Raw genomic sequence first — 24,509 nt, 5'->3', positions numbered from 1 at the left:
ATAAGATAAATAATCTCTAATATTCCTTCTAACTCTATAAAAATAGCTATTGTTATATGTATCAAGAATAATCAAAGTATATTTTTTTAGATTGTAGACCTATGTTCTCATGAGACTGCATTTCAGATGGATTGGAAGCAGCCTAATATGTATTCAAAAACCAGCACCAGATGAAAGGACTCAGCCAGAATCATGCAAAGCAGAACAATCAAATTCACAGAGACAGACTAAACTTTTTAACTAAGACTATCATGCAATTATATTGTTGGTATATCCCACGTCTATTGGTTGTATATGTATTCAAAAATTAGGTTTAGAGATGGATGATACACAGATTAGATAAACTGATAATCAATGGAGAAATGGAAAAATAGACATTTTTTAAGCACATTTTCTGAAATATCAGATGTATAAAATATGTGTATTCAGGAAAGAAATAAAATTAGACAGGAGACAATACAGATAACTTAGCAAGAAGTTATTAAGGGTGAATAATAGTATTCGGATATATCTGTCACAAGGCCCTACAAATACTAAAATTAGCTGTGATTTTTTTCTGTTAGTTCCCTAGGATTCTGCTAAAATCAGCATCCTCAGGAGCACTGGTTAACACTATGGTGTAAATCACTTGCTGATGCCATAAATTAAAAAGAAAACAAAAAACTATATTCAAAGTAACTGAGCTATAGGAACATCTCCTTAAAAGATGGAGGCATTAAGAGCATTTTCCACAACCAAGAACTAAATGTCATTCACCTGTGAATTAAAAAAAGGAAATCAAGGGGGAAAAATGAGCAGCCAGATCAATTGCGTAAACCTTTGTCAAAGATAGAAATGTTTATATGGGAGTTCTGTGGCTAAACAAAATGCAAACAGCCACATATTTTTTCAACCAACAACTGGATATCAGTAGCTTAAATAAACTCTTTCATCGTTTTATTTTTTTCATCCTTATCCTTGCTTTAAAAAAATGGAACACAGTATTTGTTGAACATTTTATGCACATATTGCGTCATAGCCCAATTTCTCAAACTCAAAGTCAATTTAGCAAATAGAAATGACAGTAGAAAAAACATATAATGTCCTGTTGGGAAGAACTGTCTTTCATTGTAGTGTGAACTTAATGACTGCATCACCTACCTTGAAGTATTTTTTAGGTCTAGTTATTCATTTAACAAAGGATTATCCAGTGCCTTCTATGTGACAGGCGCAGTGGCCACAAAGATAAGCAAAAAGATATGCTCCTTATCTTCATGGAGCTTACAATTTAATAAGAGATAAATATCCATCAAACAACCCCACAAATAAATGTACAACTGTAACTGTAATAAAAGCTAAAATGAGTATGGTGCACTATGGGCATACAGTAGGGAGATCTGACCTAATCAGAGAGTTAAGACAAGTTAGGGGCCTTGTATCCTATTCCTGGAGTCTTGCTCATCGGCAAACAGGTGAAGGAAGTATTTGTAAGGATAATATATCCTCCTGTACATCCCAAAGTCCCGTCCTGTGCACAGCCACTGACTACGTACCTCTGCATCCAAAGCAGACTCAGCTTTCAGCTGGCCTTGCTGAGAGTGAGCCCAGCATATCATGGAAAATGAATTCACCACACTGTGGCACAAACCCCGTATCATCCAACAGCTTCTTCAACCAGAGCAGCTCAGTCTTGGTCCTTATCCGTGAATGATGGTTGCAGAACCACGCTGGCTTTACAGGGATCTGGGTAGGATCCATTGCCCCCACCCTGAATGTATTCATAGTGATGTGCTATATGGTTTAGGAGCCTTGGTAAATAAGTCAAGGTAGAACTGTCTCAACTCAGAACTTTCTTCAGGTAAGAAGTATGCTTCCAACAGAAGTTCCTAACAGGAAGCAGCTATCAACATCAAAGGGGAGTATAGAAATCAATCCAAGACTAACCCCACGGTCTACTCTTTTCTTCCCTATCATCTGTGCCCCTAAAGAAGTCAGGGGAGTTCCCTGGCCAGACCTAACTCAGTACTTAAATATCTTTGATAGGCCTGGGAAACAGAACACAGGAAGAAAAGTCGTGGCTTTTCACCCCAGCAGTGGAATCTATTCTTGTTTTTTGTAGCTTGAGGTGTTTACACCTAAGGAACAGAAAGTGAACTTAAAATGCCTTTAATTAAGAAATTAGGTTTAAATGATTCCATATAACAAATCTGATTTAATTTTAAATTTTTGAATACATTTACTCATTCAAGAATGGTTTCAAACCCTCCGGGGGTGAGAGAAAGGGCAATTCTAGCTATCTTCTACAACTTTCCTGAAATAAAGACAGGAAATCCAATTTGTAATCACAATAAAGTTTCTTATCTAAATCCAAAGGCCAGTTTCTTTTTCCCCTTGGAAACATAAGTGCCTGAAGCAGGGGCTGCATTTTGATATTCTTTGTGGCACTTGGCACAGTATCATTTCTGTGAAGGTGGCTTGTAAGTAGCCTGGGGTGATTATGGTGGTGTAATTTTCATCACAACCACAGATAACCCAGGTAACTGTGCAGGTACAATGATGTTCAGCTTAACTTAAGTGGCTTTGTTCCAAACAAGGGCCTCTATTGTAAAAACACAGCAGGTGTTAAAACATAGAGATATTGAAGATAGGGGTCACTTTACATACTAACATGCACTGAAAAGTAAATCTGAGCTGCCCCACATTATTGCCAGGAATTACTGTATACTTAACATGAATCCATTAAGTACACAACTGGACAAATGATGAAATTTTATGTTAGTAAAATTCCTGACATATTTCACACCTCTTACTCTATTAAATTACGCTTTTTTAACAAAGAAAAGCTTGCCTACTTCTACACATTTTCAATTTTTTCTCCTATGTATTTCATATTAAAATTTCAAAATAATTTGATCAGAGATCCAGTGCACAAAGGTGCCTAAGTGGATAATAATCACCAAAAACACTTGCAATGGCTGCAGTAGTGGGATTCCCATCAGTGATGTCAACAGTGATGCCAAGAAGACAAAAGAAGAGGGAAGGAGCTAATAACAAAATCCACAGAATAAACAGGCTTCATTAATTTCTGAACAGGCTACATAAATCCATTAATGCCTACCGATTAATAACATGGTCATATAAATGAAGTTACTGCATACGTGTTTTCTGAAAAGCATCATTGCTAATTCATCTTATACTATCAAAATTTCTTTATCCAAAATGTATATATTTTTGAGTAATATCTTCTCAAGAAAGTAATACTTTCTTGTAATACTCAAGAAATACCCTCAATTCCCAAGTACTATAGTTTATATGTGACCAGTTTTTGATATAATAAAATATATAAAATGTAAAGTTAAACCTTAGACGTCTGTCTAGTGCTTATTCTGAGTGGCAATGAAATAATGTAATAAAACACAGCAAAAGGCCGAAAGAAGGAAGAGCTATATTTTGGGAGTGCAGAGAAGCATTACTTCAGAAATGTGTCCAGACAAAGAAAACTCATTCAAGGGATGTGGATAAGGGCCAGGTGGACTAAGGAAGAGGTAGTCTATCTGGGTGTCTCAAAAAGGAAGTTTTCATTCTGGAATCTGAAAAGAGGATGAATGCACCCGAAAATCAAACCAGCAGAGAGTGTTTCAAGAACTAGAGTTAGAGAGAAAGAATCAACTAGAGATAGGTACATCAGACATAGGAAAGGAAACCTGTAGCTAACTGATAGCTTCCATAAAGACAAATTGAATAATAAGACTGTGTATGGTTTACAAAGGCAGGTAGTATTTTTCTCGAAGTGTCCTTGTAGTGAATCTACTATCTTTATATTTGCCATGTTAAAGATACTACTGAGCTGCCCAGAGAACAGTCAAGGAAAAAAGATTTTTGGCCACAGGGCTGTGGTCCTTCAGAAATCCTGGAGCTCCTGTGTGATTAGGAAGTTATCAGAAACAGAACATGCTGTGAGTGTCTGTGTTTGAAGTGAAAGAAGGGAGATATTGAGAACAGCAATGAGTTTGCCCCTTTTTGACAAATCTTACTCTCTGCTTATTTATATCAAATTATCATCATCATCACCCTTATCTCCAGTGATTACCCAAGTCTCTTGTTCACACTCCTCCAAACTGTCTACATATACCTCCCCGCCCAAATACACACTGAAGTTATTAAGAATTAAAAGAACAAATTGTTTGCCCATCCTCATAATCATCTGTCCTAAAATGTCATTTAAACATTTAATCAAACCTGCAGTCCTCCAGGGGAATGTGTGAGTCATGCCGTTCATCCCACACGCTCGAGCGGGGCTTTGTGTCAGTCTTAGGAATGATGCAGACTGGTCCCACAAAGAAATCAGTCACAGGGACATTTTCTGTCATTAGGCAGAGAACAAAAAGCTAACAGTTTCCTGGACTCTACTGAAATAAACTTTTGCACCAATTAATGAAACCCCTATGGAAAGCATCATGCCAGAATCCAAGGAGGCTGGCCATGTACTGACACGCAAACTAACACTCCTGCAAAAGAGGGGGTAGGTGAGCATCCTAAGTCAATATGAATTGTTTGTTTTTCTGCTACTTTGGATCAGCTATACCACTGCTCCCTTTCACAGGTACAAATACACAAAAGAGGGCTTCTGTTTCATAAAAGTGGCTCCGACAAATGACACTCCTCAGGGTGCTGAACCCAACACTGGCAGCCAGCCCGTTCTGTGCCCTCAGCCTGCCAGTACTTTTCACTTCCAAAGCTATCAGCCTGCTTCAGACCTATGCCTTCACTCTGACTAGGGACAAAGAAAAGATCACAGTGGAAATCCTTCTGTGTGCTGCTAATAAGCCTATTTAGAGTCAATGAGAAAGCCTCATTTTGCACCACCAATAACGGCCTTCAAGAGTACTACTGAATCAGAAAAACCGAAATGTTTCTATGTACTCCCTGTCCTCATTTTACATCAGCCAGAGAGGTGACGCTCAGCAAAATATCGGACACGATGACCTCCAAGTTTCCTTCCTTCTCTAATGTCCTCTGGTTCTCTGTTGGCGAGTAGGATTCAAATTTTATTTAAATTATCTCATATTCTGATGGATTCTTGAGCCCTTTTTCAGTTTTAGATAGTCTCCCTGAGGTTTGCTGAATTGGCGTATCCGGAGTCTAGGATCTCTCTTGGCAAAGAACTGAATATTGCTCCCATCCAACGGCTTAGCTAGCACTGTCTATTTTCTTTCTGAAAAAGATCTGGGTAGGAGGCAGGTGTAGAGCATCTTTCCACCTCCCACAGAAGGGCTAGGGAAAGCTTTGTTGTGCATGAACCATGAACAAAAGGATAATTCAAACCAGCAATAATGTCCTTAATAAAAAATAATCATCATTTTCCCAAATGAAAATCTACAGTTCTAACCATTTGATCACAGTGATGTAAGCAAACAAACCTGCAGCTAAAGGTTATATACGGGTCGAAGATTTAATGGAAAGTGATACATGGGTGGAATGACATCACCTATTTGTCAGAATACTAACTCCTCTACCATATCCTGTGTCGGCCCACCGTTGGGGTGTAAGGGAAAGGTGCATAAAGAGATAAGTACCCATTTCTAAACATAATGCAAGTTTGACATTTAAGCTCAATAGTTTAGCTATAGAGCATTTTGGTAACATAAAAAGAAACCAGAGCAATTTGAGTGACCTTTGTGAAAGACAGGCATAGAGGTAGCAACCACCAGTCTCACCACCAAAATCTAAAAACACGGAAAATTAGCATTTATCAAAATTTCTCAGAGACTATGTTACCTACCCAAGATTCCACAGCTAGGATGCAGTGTTTGAGTGTCTACTAACAAGGCTGGGAATTATTAAACACAGAAAGCGTAACAGAAACACTTAGTTCCTCTTGGGTCTTATGGTCCAGTTGATAAAACTTCCAGCACTTTGAACAGATTTTCACTTACTGCAAAGAAAAATGCTTAGCTGAATTATTGTCTGTCTGGGTTGCAAGTAGCACACCCCCACCATCTGTAAAATAATATTTTGGTAGACTAGAGGGCATGTTGTTAAAGGAACCCAAAGGAGAATTATTTTGATAAAGTTAGGGACAATCTCTAGTATGTGTGTTTTATAATTCTGCAACTTATGTAGAAATATATCTGAATGAAATGTTGTTGAAAAGCTGTATATCATTTTAATTTTAATAAATCGAGTCACATTTTATATTCACTGACTGAGAAGTTGGTATTTAGGAAACCTGTGAGAAATTACTTTAATAATTTGTGTGTATGGCAAACATTCACCTTCTGACTTAATTCAGAATTTCTATATAAAAACAAAAATTTAATTCTTTAATATCATCTTAAAATGAGGGATGTTCATGCCATGTTAAATAAATCATTTCCACTTATTTTTAATACATAGTATTAGTTAGGATGCTTGCAGCTGCAAATGATAGAAAATCCAATCCAAAATGGCTTTAAAAATTGTTGTTCTTTAGGTCTATCACCCTAGACTTCTGCTGTCCAATATGATAGTCATTAGCCACATTTAAATGTAAAGAAATCAAAGTTACATTTACATTTAAGTGTAAAGTAATTAAAGTTAAATACAATTTGAAATTCAATTTTTTCAGTTTGCACTAGCCATATTCCATCAAGTGACCAATAGCCACATGTCACTAATGGCTGCTCTATTAAACAATGCAGATATGGAAAAATCTTCTTCACCTCAGAAAGTTCTATTAGACAGTGCTGGCTTCAAAGAAAAGGAAGTTGTTAAATCAGTAGGCAACAGTATCTGTTATATTCCCTATGTAGCAGGCAATAATCTTTATGCATATTATTTCCTTTAACTTCCCAACCGCTCTATGAGGCAACTATTATTATAATGTACTAGTCTGGACTCTAGGTTGCTAGCTAAAAATGGGAAAACATAATTAGGAGAACCTTGAACTATCTCACATATCTACAAGAAAAGCCTGGTTAAGGTCCTCATCACCATCAGAACTCTTTCCATCTGCCACCTTTATTCTGTTGCACAAGTCAGTATTATTCTTCCAGGTCAGCTTCCCCCTTGTGGTGGAAACTTCCCAGCCTCATATCTCACAGCCTCAAACTACTGCCTCCCACCCCCTGAGAGAGAATGATCCTCCTCCTTTCACTCCCATTTTAGATATTACTCGGAAGGACTCTGATAATTTAGCTTTAGTGAAGAGCTCAGTGTTAAATCAATCAGTTGTGGCTGAAGAGACACCAGGGAGAGGATCAGGGTTGTAGAATAGAGACATGGCCGGAGGGGCTCCACTTATGGACAGGGAAAACGATTTCTAGAGAAACTGGAATGCCAGGGTCCTCTCCTTCAACACATTTCTGAGTCCTCAAGGCTCTATCTCAGGCCCTCTGCAATTTCCACCCCACATACTTTCTGAATCTGTCTCACCAAGTCCCATTAATATACTAGTGAGGCCCCAATTCTCTGTCTCAGCAAGACCTTGTATTCTTAGCTTCAGACTCACATAACCAACTAACCTTTCCCAGACATCTGCAGCTGTATATCTCATAGGCTCCTTAAACTCAGTATATCCCACAAAATTCATCATCCTCCTTCCCCCTCTTCCCCAATCATTCATTATATCAGGAATGCTCTTTCAATCAATGACCGAATTTCCCATGCCAAGAATCAAGGCATCATCCTTGATTTGTCCTCTCCTTAAACATCCAATTAATTGCCAAGCCCTACATATATCCCTAAAATGTCTTTTTATTAATATGTCCATCTACTTCTGTCCATTCCTAGTACAGTGCAACCATCATAGGCTGGGCCACTATCATTTCTGGAAAATTACTGTAGTATCTCATGGGTCTCCCTTCCTCCAGTGTTATGCCTCACCAATACATTATCCATACTACAGCCAGAATAATCTTTCTAAGATGGTGATTCTATTATTCTGCTTAAAACCTTCTGGTGCCCATTCATTGACTTTCAAAACATTTTTCAACTGCCTCTTGAGGCATATAAAGTCTTATATGATCTGTCCCTTGCCTAGGTCTCTATCCTTACTCTCCTACTATCCCCCTCTCCTAGTCTCTACAACTGCCATCCTTTCTCTTGCCCACTGCTCTTTGTGCCACCCTCTGGTTAAAACAATACTACTACTGATAACCTCTTTTTCTTAATTCTGCTCATATTTTAGTCTCAACTTCAATGACACCCATCTTCTCCCTTAGGCTACATCAGTTCTCCCTGCTATATGCTGACTATTCAGTTAACATAACACATTGCATTGCAGGAACTGTGCTAAATTATTCACCTTCCCAATTAGACTATAAGCCCCATGAGGACAATAACCATTTTCGTTTTGCTCACGAACATGTCCTTGACATCTAATAGCTAGTGCTTGACAAAGAGCAGAAAATAAGCTGAATTTAATTCTTTCATTTATTCCACAAATATTTTAAGGAAGCCTGTTTGTGCCAGATGCCACCCAAGGCACTGAGATGCAGCTGTGAATGAAACAAAATCTCTTCCTACATGAAGCTCATGTTCTTGCAAGGTAAAAAAAAAACAAAACAAACAAACAAACAAAAAAAAACCAAACAAAAAACCCTAATAAACTAATAATTTTTTAGAAAATGCTTAAATTGTATAAATAAATATAGTTTTAATATTTGTATAACTTTTTACATTTTTATTTTTACTTTTTATTTATTTATTTTTATTATTATTATACTTTAAGTTTTAGGGTACATGTGCACAATGTGCAGTTTAGTTACATATGTATACATGTGCCATGCTGGTGTGCTGCACCCATTAACTCGTCATTTACATTAGGTATATCTCCTAATGCTATCCCTCCCCGCTTCCCCCACCCCACAACAGTCCCCAGAGTGTGATGTTCCTCTTCCTGTGTCCATGTGTTCTCATTGTTCAATTCCCACCTATGAGTGAGAACATGCGGTGTTTGGTTTTTTGTTCTTGCGATAGTTTACTGAGAATGATGATTTCCAATTTCATCCATGTCCCTACAAAGGACATGAACTCATCATTTTTTATGGCTGCATAGTATTCCATGGTGTATATGTGCCACATTTTCTTAATCCAGTCTATCATTGTTGGACATTTGGTTTGGTTCCAAGTCTTTGCTATTGTGAATAGTGCCGCAATAAACATACGTGTTCATGTGTCTTTATAGCAGCATGATTTATAGTCCTTTGGGTATATACCCAGTAATGGGATGGCTGGGTCAAATGGTATTTCTAGTTCTAGATCCCTGAGGAATCGCCACACTGACTTCCACAATGGTTGAACTAGTTTACAGTTCCACCAACAGTGTAAAAGTGTTCCTATTTCTCCACATCCTCTCCAGCACCTGTTGTTTCCTGACTTTTTAATGATCGCCATTCTAACTGGTGTGAGATGGTATCTCACTGTGGTTTTGATTTGCATTTCTCTGATGGCCAGTGATGGTGAGCATTTTTTCATGTGTTTTTTGGCTGCATAAATGTCTTCTTTTGAGAAGTGTCTGTTCAAACAAATTTACAAGGAAAAAACAAACAACCCCATCAAAAAGTGGGCAAAGGACATGAATTTTTTACATTTTTAAAATTGTATAAATGAAACCTTTTTAAATGACATTTTCATTATGTACTCCAAGTTGTCTTTTCATTATTCTGTTACCTCATTAGAGGTAGTGTGGAAATAAAGTGCTTTCCCTCAAATAGTATAAATGTAATTTTATTTTTTTAGAAAAACAAAACACTATGGAGTCATGGCATTTATAATGAAGTAACCAAATATTCCAATTAAATATTCAGGTAACCAAATATTCCAGTTAAATATTCAGGTAACCAAATATTCCAATAAAATTTGACTGATTTTATAGGACACAGGCCTATATGTGTTTCTAGAATCATATTCCCATTTAAATTAGCATCGCAGTCAGGAATTTAAAGACAAACTATCAGAATAGTACATTTTCTTCTTAAATTACAGTAAAAGCCCTTTTATAACTATGTTGAGCTTTTTCTTTTATTAAAAAATATCATTCCAACAATTAAAATATTTATCAAATGCATGCCAAGCTAGGCACCATGCATCATATCTACATCACTATGATGAAGAACAGGGTGACTATCTGGCCATACATTATAGACCAATTAATTAACTTAACAGATATATAATGCTAAGCATATGCTAAGTCTTGAGGATACAGACCCTGCTTACTAGCAACTTAGAAACTATTGTCTGACTATTATCTTTCCCACAAAAGATAAGCTCCTTGAGGGCAGATGTTTAGCACAATATAGAGTTTAACAAATGTCATAAGTAATCAAAAAATAATCAAGACTCTTCGGTAGTCTTGATTTCTCAATTAGCCTTAGTAAGCTCTAATCATACTTTATGTCTCCTTTGCCCTACTGTATCCAATCCTTTGTTCAGCTAGTTCTTTTGTTTAGCTATGTTCCTAAGAGTTTGTGGTAATTCTCTTGTATTTCAGCAAATCATATCTATGAGACTCTCTCAAATCCTCTGAGTTAAAAAGAATCCCAAGATAAAACACAGAGAATAAATACTATTTTTGAAATATAAATAGTCTCCTGTATTTATCTGCTTTGTATCATTTTTAGAAAAGAGGAGAAATCAAGTTTTCCTGATATTGAATCATCTATACATTGTTCCTTTTTAAAATTTTGTTTGGTTTTAATGAATTGGTTCCTTCAACTGAAGTTTAATAGCCATTTAAAGGAAGACAATTTATCCTGATGTTTCTGTATTTTTCTAAACTTTCTCATCCTCTCTGGCCCGAGCCTTACCATAGTTTTTCAAATAATTGGTGATCAAAAATGCTGAACTGTCACCTGTTTGCCTATACACTCTTTTCCATTTCTGAGTTCTTCAGTGTAATATTCCAGAGATTGTGTTTATTCAGATACATTCATCTTCCAATCAATCAAGCTAATGCCAGCTTCTGTTGTGGGTTTTGCAGAAAGGATTTCCTAGACTCCTGAATTCATTTTTTCTCTCTGTAGGATGAGCATTTTTGTTTTAAATTATTGTCTGAAAAAATGTGAGCAGTTACGTACTCGAAATTTTAACTAGAATTGCTTCCCTTCTAAACATGCTAGTTTCTCAGACCAAATGTATCAATCTGACTCCCTTAGAAGTCAGGCGCTTCACAAAGAGGGAATACTTAACCTTAGGTGGCCAACAAAAAAACATACAGGCCCATATACCAGGAAAAATAGTAGAATGGGTCAGTGCAACTGAGCCCCACTTTGGTAAAGTTCTTCAGAGCAGGAAAGGATGAAGGAAAGAAGCAAATATCAAATCAGACTTCAGTCCTATCATCGTTAGGTAGCTACAGGGCTTTAGACAACCAACCTGACCAGAGGAGCCTCAATTTCCCTTTCTGCAAAGTGAGGAAACTGAGCTAAATAATCTCTAAGGACCTCTTCAACTCCTCCACTCTATGTGTATTTACGATTGACAGTACAGTTTTCTAAGTGTTCAGAATATTTTTTGTTTCTGACATGGCAAACTTTACAATCTGCTTTGCAGACTTTGAAGATACAGGTGCATCTGTGTATGTTTCTTTAGATTTAGTAATTTAGTAATTAAGCTTCCCACTTTCAAATTTACTAATGAGAAAAACACGCACACACACACATATACATATTACTCTGTCATTATACTTTACTGATTTGAATACATACTCGAGTAAGTATATAAAGCTGGCTACTTATTGCATGTTTTTGCATTGATAATGTATAGATCAAGTCTTGTTTAGACGGTCTTCTGTAAGACAGCTTGAGTTTATCAGTAACCTTTAGCACAGTTGAATGTTTATTTTGCTAATTTAGCTTCAGGTGCTATGGTTATCATTATAAACTAACTCTAATATTCTCTGTTACTCAAAGCATACCCTAGAGCTCACCAGGATCCATGTCACCTGGAACTGGTCAGAAATGCAGAATGCCTACCTCCAGAGTTACAAAATCAAAATCTGCATGTTAACAAGGTACTCAAGTGATTTGTGTGCATGCTAACATTCTAGAAATGCTGTTAGACATAGTGCTGCCCATATTGCTTTAAAATAGATTTTTTCTTTAAGAGAATGAATAAATGAGTAAACTAACTATAATTTAGCAACGTGAACTGCTATAATTCAATGTCATTGGACTTAGAGTTATAGAAACTTCTAGTTGATAGTTTCTCCTATTTTGTTTTTTGCTTAATGTAGTCATAGGTCTACTCTTATACAAGGCAAGAGGCCAGGGAACTGGATGTAAAGGTTTATGCTGTTCAAGACCCACTAGCAAAAACTACATGTATAAATGAAAATCAATGTGAAGAATATTAAAATATTTACTACTTTATAAAGGATTAGGTAATAACCAATATGTTATTTTTGCTTCACTTTATAGTTGGTGATTAAAATTCCAAAATGTATTCCATCACACATAAAGTATCATAAAGAGCAAAACAGGAAAATATTTTTCAACTATGTGGTAAAATGTCTAATATAAGTAAATAATAAATGGAGGATATAAATGTCAAGGACAAATCCAAATAAAAGAAACCAGGATCCTGGCTGCAGCTCTGAGATTAACACTGTGATTTGTCAGTAATTCACTTTACTTCTCTGGGTTCTAGTTTCTTCACTAGAAAACAAGAGATTGATTCTTATTTTACATCCCAGCTCTAAATTCTGAAATCTAGTATGTCTGAAATCAATGCCTGTTTTGTCATCTCAGATGGATCTATTGAAATTCACCATGAAATCTCAGAAACAGCATAAATAAGTCATCCTTGGATTTCTGCTATTTTACTTGCGAAGAACAAGAGCATATGGATGCCTACCTCATAGTGCTAACGTAAAGGCATTCTCCCCAACAGAGTTTTACTCTAGGCAAGGGGACAAATGGGGAAGGCAGAACACATTTTAATTCAGGGGAACCTACCTGGGTTATCTTTCACTCTGAATCACCAAATCCAATTATGTAAATTCATCCCCCTTGATGACTACCTACTTCCTTCATATGGTCTCTATGTGTCCTGAGTGAATACGGGAGAGCTTATACCTTTCATAACTTCACAAAACAAACAGAGGACTGCTGAGAGGTAGTTATACCTGAAGAGTTACATAGTTAATCTAGCACCAGAAAATAAACTGACAGGTCTTTCAGGGAGCTAATTATTGAGCCTGCTATTTGGTTCACTGACAGGATTGCTTGTTTGTGGGAAGAAACATATTTGTGCATTGCTTTTTGCATTACCGCTATTTCTATCATCATAAATAAGAATCAATAGGCCATTTTGCATAGCATATGCTCACCACTATTTTGTATCTGAGTGTCAGCTGTATGCAGGCTAAGCAGCAGTGCCCCAGCCTCCTGGCTGAGAATTAAAACCCAGCAAAGAAAACACCTCAAATTCCACAAGACAGTGTATATGTCTTTGTGAGCTCCTTGAGAGCAAGGGAGGTCTGTTGTTTGTCTCTCTATCTGAAGCACAGTGCCTGGCACATGGGGAGCTTCAAAATGTATAAACAACTAAATGAATAATGAATGAATGGATGGATGAATGAAACAAAGGAAGGTTTTAAGATAGGATATGGAATCAACTGTATTTACTGGGTCAGTCAAGGGATGTCGTTTCGATAAGCGCAGAGCTATTTACAATTCGTGATGGAGACAGGAAGGAAAAGACCCGGCCTGAGTCCAGAGGGAGCTGGCTTTTGTTTAGCAGCTTAACCCACATACTCAGGTCTCTGCAATATTCACTATCGGGTCCTCACTACAGAAGACAAGAAATCAGAATGACAGTCATTTAAAAAGTAAAGCAAAACTTCTGAAGAAAGACTCTACTGCCAATGAGAATATTGCTGGACAAAACAAGGTCAAGTAAGGGACTGATCAGAGAAAAGATATGAATGAGAAAAAATGAGGCAATGAAGGGAGAGGAATTGTGGCAGAGGCCTGAGTGGGGAAATAAGTGTGTGAAAAATGTGTAAAGACTGGGAGAGTATGAAGATGCAATTCTCAAGAGAGTCTGTGGATGTCTGGGTTTTGGAGAGTGGAAAGACATTAAGCCTGAGAGTACAATGAGGGAGGGAGGAAGGGAGGGAGGGAGGGAGGGAGAGGTCAGATAAAAGTCTATAAAATAACACCCATCACCACTGATAACAAGTATAAAAGAGTCCTTTTTTCTTCTAGAGAAAGACAAAGGGAATTTTAAGTAGGATTAAGTAGTAGTAGCTTTCAGAACTCAGCAGCTCTCAGAAGCAATAATAACTACATAAATAGCTAAGTGGATGGTAGGAATTACCTCACTTGGAATTTGGCCAGCAAATCAAAAGTTAGCAGTAATATCACATCTTTTTGAAAGCTTTCCTGAGATTCTAGAGGGGAAAATTATCAAAGAAAACTGTTTCTACTGAGTAAATTTCAGGAAGAAATGCTCCTCACTGCTTGAAGATGTTCTATCTCTGGAAAACTGCTAAGACAGAAGTCCCTCCCTGCTGGGAAGCACTCTCTCATCCATGTAAATACATTGCCAATTTTGCCCCCAATGGTAGCAAATAATTACGTTCGCAGATCACCATTGCCTAATGTAAAATGTTACTCAACACGTATAACCTAACCTACCAATGATGTTCTGAATGAGCAAAAAGGGCGTCATGGATATCTCACTTTCAGAGAGTGTCTTAACTTTTTGACTCATTGCAGGTAGTTAAAATGTAAACTTTTTACGGCCACATTTTAAAGCACTTTGCAAACGCTGGACACCTCTACTCGTGAATATCCTGTAAATTTTTCCTTTCAAGTACATTTGACCACTAACATGCCAGATCATCTTCCCTTCTCCCCTAAAACAGAAATGAAAACTGGGTAAAATGGTAATTTGGGGGACAAATATCTTCTCTCATCATCTGAAAACTGTCATATGTTGCTTTTTAAAAAAATTAAATTAGTGTTATTTGTTTTCCACCCAGAGACAAGTTATTTTGGTATCACCCACAATGGAATTTGCATGAAAATCTGTTTACTGACCCAGTTCCCTAGGGGTGCATTTGCCCTAGCACTTGGAGTAAACACCATTTTCACTGCACTAGAAATAGTTCTAATTGGACAAATTGTTATAATTTTAGCAACACCCAATTAAATCAAAGGAATTGGAGGCAGAGATGCCACAGAATCTGGATTCGGCCACAAACCAGTTCAGTATTTGTGCCTGAAATAAAAGTCTAATCATATACCATCTACAGATGCTAAAGGAACAGCTACATACCTCGGCTGAACTTAGAAAATATGATTTTTTTTATTGTACTTTAAGCTCTGGGATGCATGTGCAGAACGTGCAGGTTTGTTACATAGGTACACATGTGCCATGGTGGTTTGCTGCGCCCATCAACCCATCGTCTAGGTTTTAAGCCCCGCATGCATTAGGTATTTGGCCTAATTTTCACTCTCCTTTTGCCCTCAACCCCCTGACAGGTCCCACTTGTGATGTTCCCCTCCCTGTGTCCATATGTTCTCATTGTTCAACTCCCACTTACGAGTTAAAAAAAAAAAAGAAAGAAAATATGAGTTTGGAGAAACTGGTTATTCTGAAAACAGCCTATTAAAAAGTTATGTGACTGGTTAACAGTGTGTGTGTGTGTGTGTGTGTGTGTGTGTGTGAGTCCATCCATTTCATTAACTGGGGTATTTTCACCAATACAGTCTAAATAACAGGAAATGAATTTAAAGAGAATCAAACAATAACATTCAGAACTCAAAGTTAAGCATAGTGTAAAATATATCTCAGTGGAAAGCATGTAAGTGTCTTAACTCTCCTTCCAAACCCATCTATAAATTGCCACTTTGTATTTTCCATTCATGTATCCTCCTCTCCAAGAAGCTGGACCTTTTTACTGCTGTTCACGCACCTACACATCACGTCCTACTCCATGCCTTTGTCCTGCTGACTCCCCATTTCTTCTCATCTTGGATGTCTTTCCCAAATCCTTCTTGTCATCAAACACTCATCTCCTCCACAGAGCTTTGGATTTTACAATGTGAACTTACATACATTTTCTGAACTTCCCTAATTATCTATATCCAAATTTAGCATTTAATCATAGAACTTTCCTCTCTGATTAAGTATATGTTTGTGTGTACCTTTTTATCCCCCAACCAAATCACATGATTTAAAGGTAACATTGGTCTTTAATGCCTCTCCTTAAAGTTTCCATCAAGATCCTACTCTGCATTTATTCTCTTTCACTAGTTATCCCTTCTCTTTTTTTTGAAAACATGCTTAAACGTGCCCTATCCTAAAGAAATCTCCAATTCTTTCTCAAGCTCTCCCACCATATCTACTTTCTTTCTCTCAAAACTTCTTTAAACAGCATCCCTTCCTCCACTTCTATTCTGTTCTCTCTCAACCCCTCTAATTTGGTTACCCAGGCACACCCTTATCTCTCAGCTGCAAGTCCCTGCAGCACTGAAACCTCACGCACCTGTCTTTCTCCTGGAGACTGAGACAACCTTGACTCCCGGTTCATCTCCTTCCCCCAAGCCCAGCATTCTCAGTGTCCTTTCCTGGTTCCTGCCCTTGAATTCTCAGTCATCACTCCTCATCTTTTCTCAGTCTCCCATGGCAATTGCATTTCTGCTTTTGTCTTTAACTTCAAAATCTCCAAGACTTCCTAATCTCAAATTTTAGTGAACTGTCTGTGGGGTCCCAGACCTTATGCTGCCACCTGCTGGCCAGTTTCACGGGGCTATCTCAGAACAAAATTCAAGTTTATTCCCAAACACCTAACCATTCTATTTATTTTATTTTTCCTCTGTTAACTAATTACATCACCATTTTCCTAGACCTCCCCGATAGAGGTTTAACATCAGCATCCTCCATGATTTAACGATCTTCGCCCCAGCATCAACCACTCAGCTGGTTGTTATATAAATACAACACTATATAGCGTTAGATAAACATAACACTACCTACCAGAGCGTCTGTCCTGTGTGTTACATCCCTAGCTAGCTTTTTTTTTTTTTTTTTTTTTTTGGAGATGGAGTCTCACTCTGTCGCCCAGGCTGGGTGCAGTGGTGCAATCTCGGTTCACTGCAACCTCCACCTCCCGGGTTCAAGCAATTCTCCTGCCTCAGCCTCCCAAGTAGCTGGGACTACAGGCGCCCGCCACCACGCCGGGCTAATTTTTTGTATTTTTAGTAGAGATGGGTTTTCACCATGTTGCCCAGGCTGGATTCAAACTCCTGAGCTCAGGCAATACGCCCACCTCGGCCTCCCAAAGTGCTAGGATTACAGGCGTGCATCACCGTACCACCGTGCCCGGCCCCTAGTTAGCACTTCTTAGACCATGACGGCCTGTCCCCAGGATACTGGATGAGTCCTCATTGACCTGCCTCCATTTTCTCCCCTGAACCCCAATCCTCCTCACACTTCTGCCAGGCAAATCTTCTTGAACCGAGTGTCTGAGCAATTCTCTAGATGAAGAGCCTCAAGACATTGTGTCCTACTGGTAGAATAAAGCCCAAATTCCGCAACTCTGGAACTTCTGGAAAGAACTTCAAGACCGTGCATGATCTGGCTCCAGACTATCATCAAAGCCTCAGCTGTCATCACGCTTCCTCTCGCGATATTCACTCTTGCTCCAACCTCCCTGAACTATTTTTTTTTTCCTTTACTTTGAACAAAAGAGCCTTACTCTGGCGCTAGAGCTTGTCATGCACTCCCGTCATATCTTTACACAACTGATCACTTCTTGTCACTCAGGTCTTATCTCAAATGTCACCTCCTCTGGCGAGGCATACTTGGACCACACAGTCTAATTACCTTCCTCCTCCTAATACCCAGGTTAGTCTTTCACAGTTAATCTGTTGTATTTCTTCTAAGCACATCTCAGCATCTGAACACATCTGTTCATTTATGTTTATTATGGAGTGTCCATCTCCCCACACTCAAATGTAAGCCCCGTGAGCATGAATATTGCCTTTCTTCACTCAACCCAGCTCCTGGAAAAGTGCCTGGCACATGGAAGCCTGAAATCAGATTCTTCCACAGCGTGGCACCCATTTCCACCTCCTTGTTCTGTCTCTGTTTATACGTCTGTGCTAGCTTTTAGTATATTACATCTTTTATTTGAACAGCTATTTCCAAAGAAAGTGAGGAGGAGGGAAAGGAGGACATATCAAAGTCTGGGGGTGGCGGGGTAGAAGAAGGAATGAATCATTTCTAAAACACACATTCAAGTTGTGTAGTTTTCAGTGTAAAGGATTTGCGCATTTTTGTTAAAATTGACCCTTATATATGTTGTATGTTTTTGATCCTACTATAAGCAGTATTCTTTAAATTTCATTTTCTATGTGTTAGTTTCTAATATGTACATTAAAAGTGAATGTTTATATTGACCTCATATCTGTAACCTTGCTAAATTTACTACTCATTTCTAAGTAACTTTTAAAATTATGTGGTTTTGGGCCAGGCATGGTGGCTCACGCCTGTAATCCCAGCACTTTGGGAGGCCAAGGTGGGTGGATCACGAGGTCGGGAGTTTGAGACCAGCCTGGCCAACACGGTGAAACCCCATCTCTACTAAAAATACAAAAATTAGCCAGGTGTTGTGGCATGCACCTGTAGTCCCAGCTACTCAGGAGGCTGAGGCAGGAGAATCGCTTGAAACCAGAAGGCAGAGTTGCAGTGAGCCAAGATCGCGCCACTGCTCTCCACCCTGGGTGAAAGAGCAAAACTCTGTCTCAAAAAAAAAAATTATGCGAGTTTTTTTTCTATGTGCACAATCATCTGAAAATAAATATAGTTTTAATCATATATTCAAAAATGCATATTCAATATCATTATTATTTTCAAGCACAAGCTATGGAAAGTAAAGCATCAAAAAATCATACATGTTCCAAGATAGCTGCTATGCAGGATTTAAGAAAATAATAGTATTATAGGAGACAGGGATTAAAATAGTTGAAAAATACTGTCTTATAGCAACTTATTATGATACATATTACATTTTGAACCCCTGGAGAGCAATACCATGTCTTATTTGTCTGTATTCCATCAAACCTAATAAAGTACATTTTCCAAAGTAGACAATAAATGTTTCCCAGATACCTCAGTACTGTATGCATGGTATATGTTCAATAAAAACTTGCTGATCAATTGAAAGAACCAATAAACAAATTTAAGTTTTTTGAATGATCAGTGTATGCTGAGCCCTGAGACACTATAACAAAAAGACACAAAAAATAGAAAATACATTCATCATTGTCCATATAGAAAAACATAATTTATCAAGTAATGAAAACAAATGAAAATGAAACAAATGCACCACAGGAAACATTTGAGTGGTTACCTGTGCATTTCTTTATATGACTGTTCCTTTTCCCATGTGATCCTAACTTGCAGCCAAAATTCTCCTCCCAAAATTCTGCAAACCACACATTTCTTCGATTATTGGCAAGAGTTTGGCTTCTAAAGTATTGATCAAATCCTATTTCAAAGGAGAAAGGTATGATTTTAATATTCTTTCAAAATTAAATATTGTCAGAACTTTCAAATGGACATTATATTCTGATCACTGCATGAAAAGAAAAAAAAACACATAACAAATGAGAGAAAGCCAGTAGCCCATAAATAAGGCCTCTCTTATGGCAAAAGTCAAGGAGGATCAATGGACAATCCCCCCACACCACCACCAGTACTCAAGCACCTGGCTCTGTGAATAAGTACTACAGGAAAGCCTGGTGTCAGCGTCCTTCTTATACCCTCTCCTACTCTACTTCTCCCAGAGGCAGCAACCAGTGACTTCATGCTGAATCCTGAATACTCAGAACCCAACTTAAACTTCCCTCATTCTTTTCTCTTTCCTAGCATGGATCAATGTTCCAGACTTTCCTGTGTTTCCACATACTTCAAAATTTCTCCTTCCCATATGTTGTTTTCAGCTAATTCAATAAAACAATCATGTTAATGTCATCTTATGGAGTCATGAACTCAAGTGTTGGTTTACTCAGGTAACTACTTTATTGAAGGGAGACCCCCTGGAAATAATGCCTTACTCCAGAGGATAATGTTAAGATGGGAATTTCAGTTACTGTCAAACCGACTGGAAAAGATGTTTAGAAGACAGACTGCCTTTCAGGATGCTCCAAGCCTTTCCTGTTGCATTTATTTATCCATAGGATAAGCCCAGCATCATATATTCATTTTCTATAAATCAAGCATTTCCCTCCAACAATGCTATAACCACCATAAATACCCACAGAAATATGCAAACTCAAACTCAAAGTGCAATTACTAACATAATGGAAATAACTGACTACGGTCTTTTTCTTAAAAAAATATAATGGGTCCTCTTTCCTAAATACACACACACACACACACACACACACACACACACAAAATACATATATATATGTGTGTATATATATGTGTATATATATGTGTGTATATATATGTGTATCTATGTATATATATGTGTGTACATATATGTATATATATGTGTGTGTGTGTATATATATATATATATATATATGCATATGCATGCTGGCTTAAATACTGGTCTTGACAATTCTGCCACCAAAGCTAAAATTTGTATCAAGTCATCAGTAATGAGTGCATTTCCTCATATTATGATACTCCAGTTTTGCCTTTGAGTTCAGATCCAAGTGGAATAAAACAAATTCTCTACGGTGCATTCTTACCATCAATTGATGCTCGTTTGGGCAAAATTGTCACAGCCCCTTCTGCAATCTCCTCTTGCTGATAGACAGGTGCTATTTTGGATCCCCAACTATCTGAGCCAATCCAGAGAAAATGGCCACTTTGGTTTAGTTTTTTTGCTGCTTCCAATATCCTCCTGTAGGAATAAAAATAAATAATGCATGTCACATGTATTAAAAATACCACAATTATGAATATTACAATACCAGCTTTAGGAAGTTTTATACACTCAGTAGGTCACTGTTTAACAATTAAGACAATCATTCTAACTGCCCGAGTCTTATCATCTCCTAAAAGCAATATAGCAGAGACTAACTCCAACATATGTTAATTAGCCTTATCCTTAACCTCATTCACATCATTCTGTCTATCACCTTTGTTTGTCTTATCTCATTTAGTCCCCAAGTTTTACTCTGTACGTATTTCAGATTTACAAACTAGAAGGCAGCAGAAAGCAGTCTGTTGTTGGAAGGGAATTACAAACTTTTATGTTGAACATGAAATATGTTAGAAAGAGGATATGGGACACAAATCTGACCCTGCATACAGAAGAAAAGTAATCAGCACCTGATGTCATCCTCATTGGCAAACATAATCACTGCTCGAGCATTAGGTGTTTCTAGCAGGCATTTGATAATTTTTTCAAATTCTCCAGGTCTTGGTTCACGTGGGATTTTCTGGGACTGAGCAATGCAAACACCATCCATTTAAAAAAGAAGGGAGGGGGTGATTCAGAAAGAGCATTTATTTAATTAGCAAACCCAATTAGCTACTTTATAAAAGCACATACTTCTGTATGAATATTATTTCTCAAACTTTGTGTCACTCTCACCTATTAAGAGCAATTATGTTTGTTTGCATTATAATATATTCACCAAATAAATGACAACAATTATTAATCAGACATGGGTTTCTTTCCCAAAATTTAAACATTATTTTTGTGGATATAGCTAAGAAAACCAAGGTGTATAAGATGTGTGATGAGAGTGAAAAGGTGGAAAGAAGAAGGGCTCTTTTGATTTATGCAATATAAGCCAAAGGACAAGTGACAGAATTAATAAAAGTATGAGTATGTCTTATAGTTGAGACCCTTATTAAGTAGCACGGTCCTTTTGTTACTTTTATTTACTGGTAGACTTCTTTTAAAGTTAATTTCATTGTATAGCTAATAGAACTGCAGCAAGATCCTCATGCATCAGCATAGCAATGTCTTATGAGACAAGTGGTCTTCAAGGCTATATAAGACACAGGCAAACCCCAAAGATGCCAACTTTGGATTGACATACATCTCCACTATGAAAATCGATATGGCAGAAATACCATCGCATTTTCACTGCAAATAAAAAGACAGAACCGTTCTTTTGGCCTCTCCTTCTTAGGCAATGAAGGACAAAAGAGAAAAGTATAGAAAAGATCTCTGCCTCTGGGCTGGGGTAGGAGGAGAAGAAAGAGTTTCCCCCAATTGCAGTGAAACAGAGATAACATTCTGAAACTAGATGAGAAAGCAATATTAGCAATAGGTTTCAGTTGCATTATGGTATAAACAGTATTTTTTTTTTTAGTCAGCTAAGAATTAAATCACCATTTATAGCATTGCTTCAGTAGGCAAAGGCATTTTTACTTCCAAACAATTGACAATGCACTCAGTCATCCAACTGTTATTGGATGCCATTATATTCTACACACTGGGCTCAACATTGGAAATGCACAGTCTAATCCAGGAGTTACCACCTAGTCTGGGAAACAGGCATTTGAATAAGTTACCATGGAATAGATAATAAAGTATATAATTAATAGGATACCCAATACAATCAGAACACAGAAGAAGGAGTAACTAAAGTGCTTGAGAGAGCTGAATTTTAAAGAGCAAATATGCATCCATATGGGGACAAAAGTGGAACATGTCTGGTGGAGGCCAAAGTATGTAAAAACCTAGCAGGATCATGGCCTATGGTAGACACTGGCTGGGTTTGAAGTTGGAAACAATGACCAGGTCCAGCTTGAGAATGGTTTTGTTAGACATGCCAAATTCTGTAGGCTGAGTGTTCATATGTTAACACTTAATCCCCAGTGTGAAAGTATTAGGAGATGGGACTGTTGGGAGGTGATTAGGTCATGAGAGTGGAGTCCTTATGAATGGGATTAGCACCCTTATAAAAAAGACTCCAGAGAGATTTCTTGCACCATCTGCCATGTGAGGACACAGCAAAAAGACACTGAACCAGGAAGAGGGCCCTCATCAGCTCTTGGCCACGCTGGCACCTTGCTTTCAGACCTTCAGCCTCCAGAACTGTAAAAATAAATTACTATTGATTAAGCCATCCAGTATATGATAATTTTTATTTTTTATTTTTTAGATATGGGGGTGTCACTCTGAGATCCAGGCTGGAGTGCAGTGGCCAGATCATAGCTCATTGTAGCCTCAAAGCCCTAGGCTCCAGTGATTTGCCCACCACATCCTCCGGAGTAACTGGGATTACTCCGCACATGCCACCACACCGCACTGGTCTCCTATAATAATTTATTATGGCATCCCAAAGAGACTAAGACATCACATAACTTGGACTTTATTCTGAAAACAATGGGGATCCATTAGGTTCATCAGCAGAAGTATGTGCTGAGCTTTATGCTTTAGGTAGACTTTCAAAGAAGAAACGTCTGGTAGCCAAATGATAGATTTCCAGGGCACTGTGATAGGACCTAATATGTACAGCAGATGTATGACTAACTGGTGCTAGTATATAAAACTATTTTTCTTTTAAGTTAGAGAACATTCAAAATTATGCCTGCAATAGCAGGACTCTTAGTAACCTTACAATTTGCATCCCAGGGGTGGGGATTGCCTATAATACACAGATTGGGCTGTCACTACCCGCAGTTAGCTAGTCTACCGATATACCACCACTAGTTGTGATACTCGATTCATTCCTTCAGTAAATATTTCTTGAGTGCCCAGTATCTGCTAGATACTGTGTGGGTGCTGTGGACACAATGGTGAATAAAAGAAATTCTCTAAGTTCACAGAATTCAGAAATATTGTGGGTATATCAGGCTTAATGCAAAATAAAAAGAAAGAAGAAGAAGAGAAAAAGAACAGAGAGGAGAAAGAAGAAGAGCAGGAGAAGGAGGAGGAGAAAGAGGAAGAGGAAGAAGGAGGAAGAGGAAGAAGGAGGAAGAGGAAGGAGGAGGAAGAGGAAGAAGGAGAAAGAGGACAAAGAGGAGGAGGAGGAAATGGAAGGAGGAGGAGCAGATGGAAGGAGGAGGAAGAGACGGAGGAGGAGGAGGAAGAGATGGAGGAGGAGGAGGAAGGATGGAGGAGGAGGAGGAAGAGAAAGAAGGAGGAGGAGGAAGAAGGGGAAGGAGGAGGAGAAAGCAGAAGCAGAAGAGGCAGAAGAGGGTGAGAGGAGTGGGCAACAAAAATAAGATGGAGATAAGGGTCCGATTGTGTGTGGCTCTGCAGGGCCTGTGGAAGACTATGAACAATTAAATGCTTAATTTTCTCACTAAATGTTTCTACTTCTTCGATCTTTGAGTGGCCCATAGGAATATGTCTCATGTATGAGCATTGCACTCCATGGAAGAAAAATGGATGAGGATCGCTGATACAGAGGGCAGCCTGAAGTGGGATGAACAGGAGGCAATGAGCCCAGCAAGGAGGTATTGGAATAGGCAGTGGGAAATGATGACTGAGCCAGCGCTACTGGTGCTGGGGAGGAGCAGCTGGAGCTAAGGCAGAATCTCTGAGTTAGAATCAATGGGGCTTTGTATTGATTTGATGTAAGCAGCGAAGCAATGGGAAACCGCTAAGTATGACT

At 38.1% G+C, this 24,509-nt stretch overlaps 1 pseudogene; it reads right to left on the bottom strand.

Moving 5' to 3' along the window:
- On the bottom strand, window positions 19,324-21,401 carry LOC402279 (glutamate metabotropic receptor 8 pseudogene; annotated as a pseudogene).

The sequence above is a fragment of the Homo sapiens genome, chromosome 7, assembly GCF_000001405.40.
Source record: "Homo sapiens chromosome 7, GRCh38.p14 Primary Assembly".
Lineage (NCBI taxonomy): Eukaryota > Metazoa > Chordata > Mammalia > Primates > Hominidae > Homo > Homo sapiens.
This window is presented reverse-complemented; position numbering and strand designations above follow the sequence as displayed.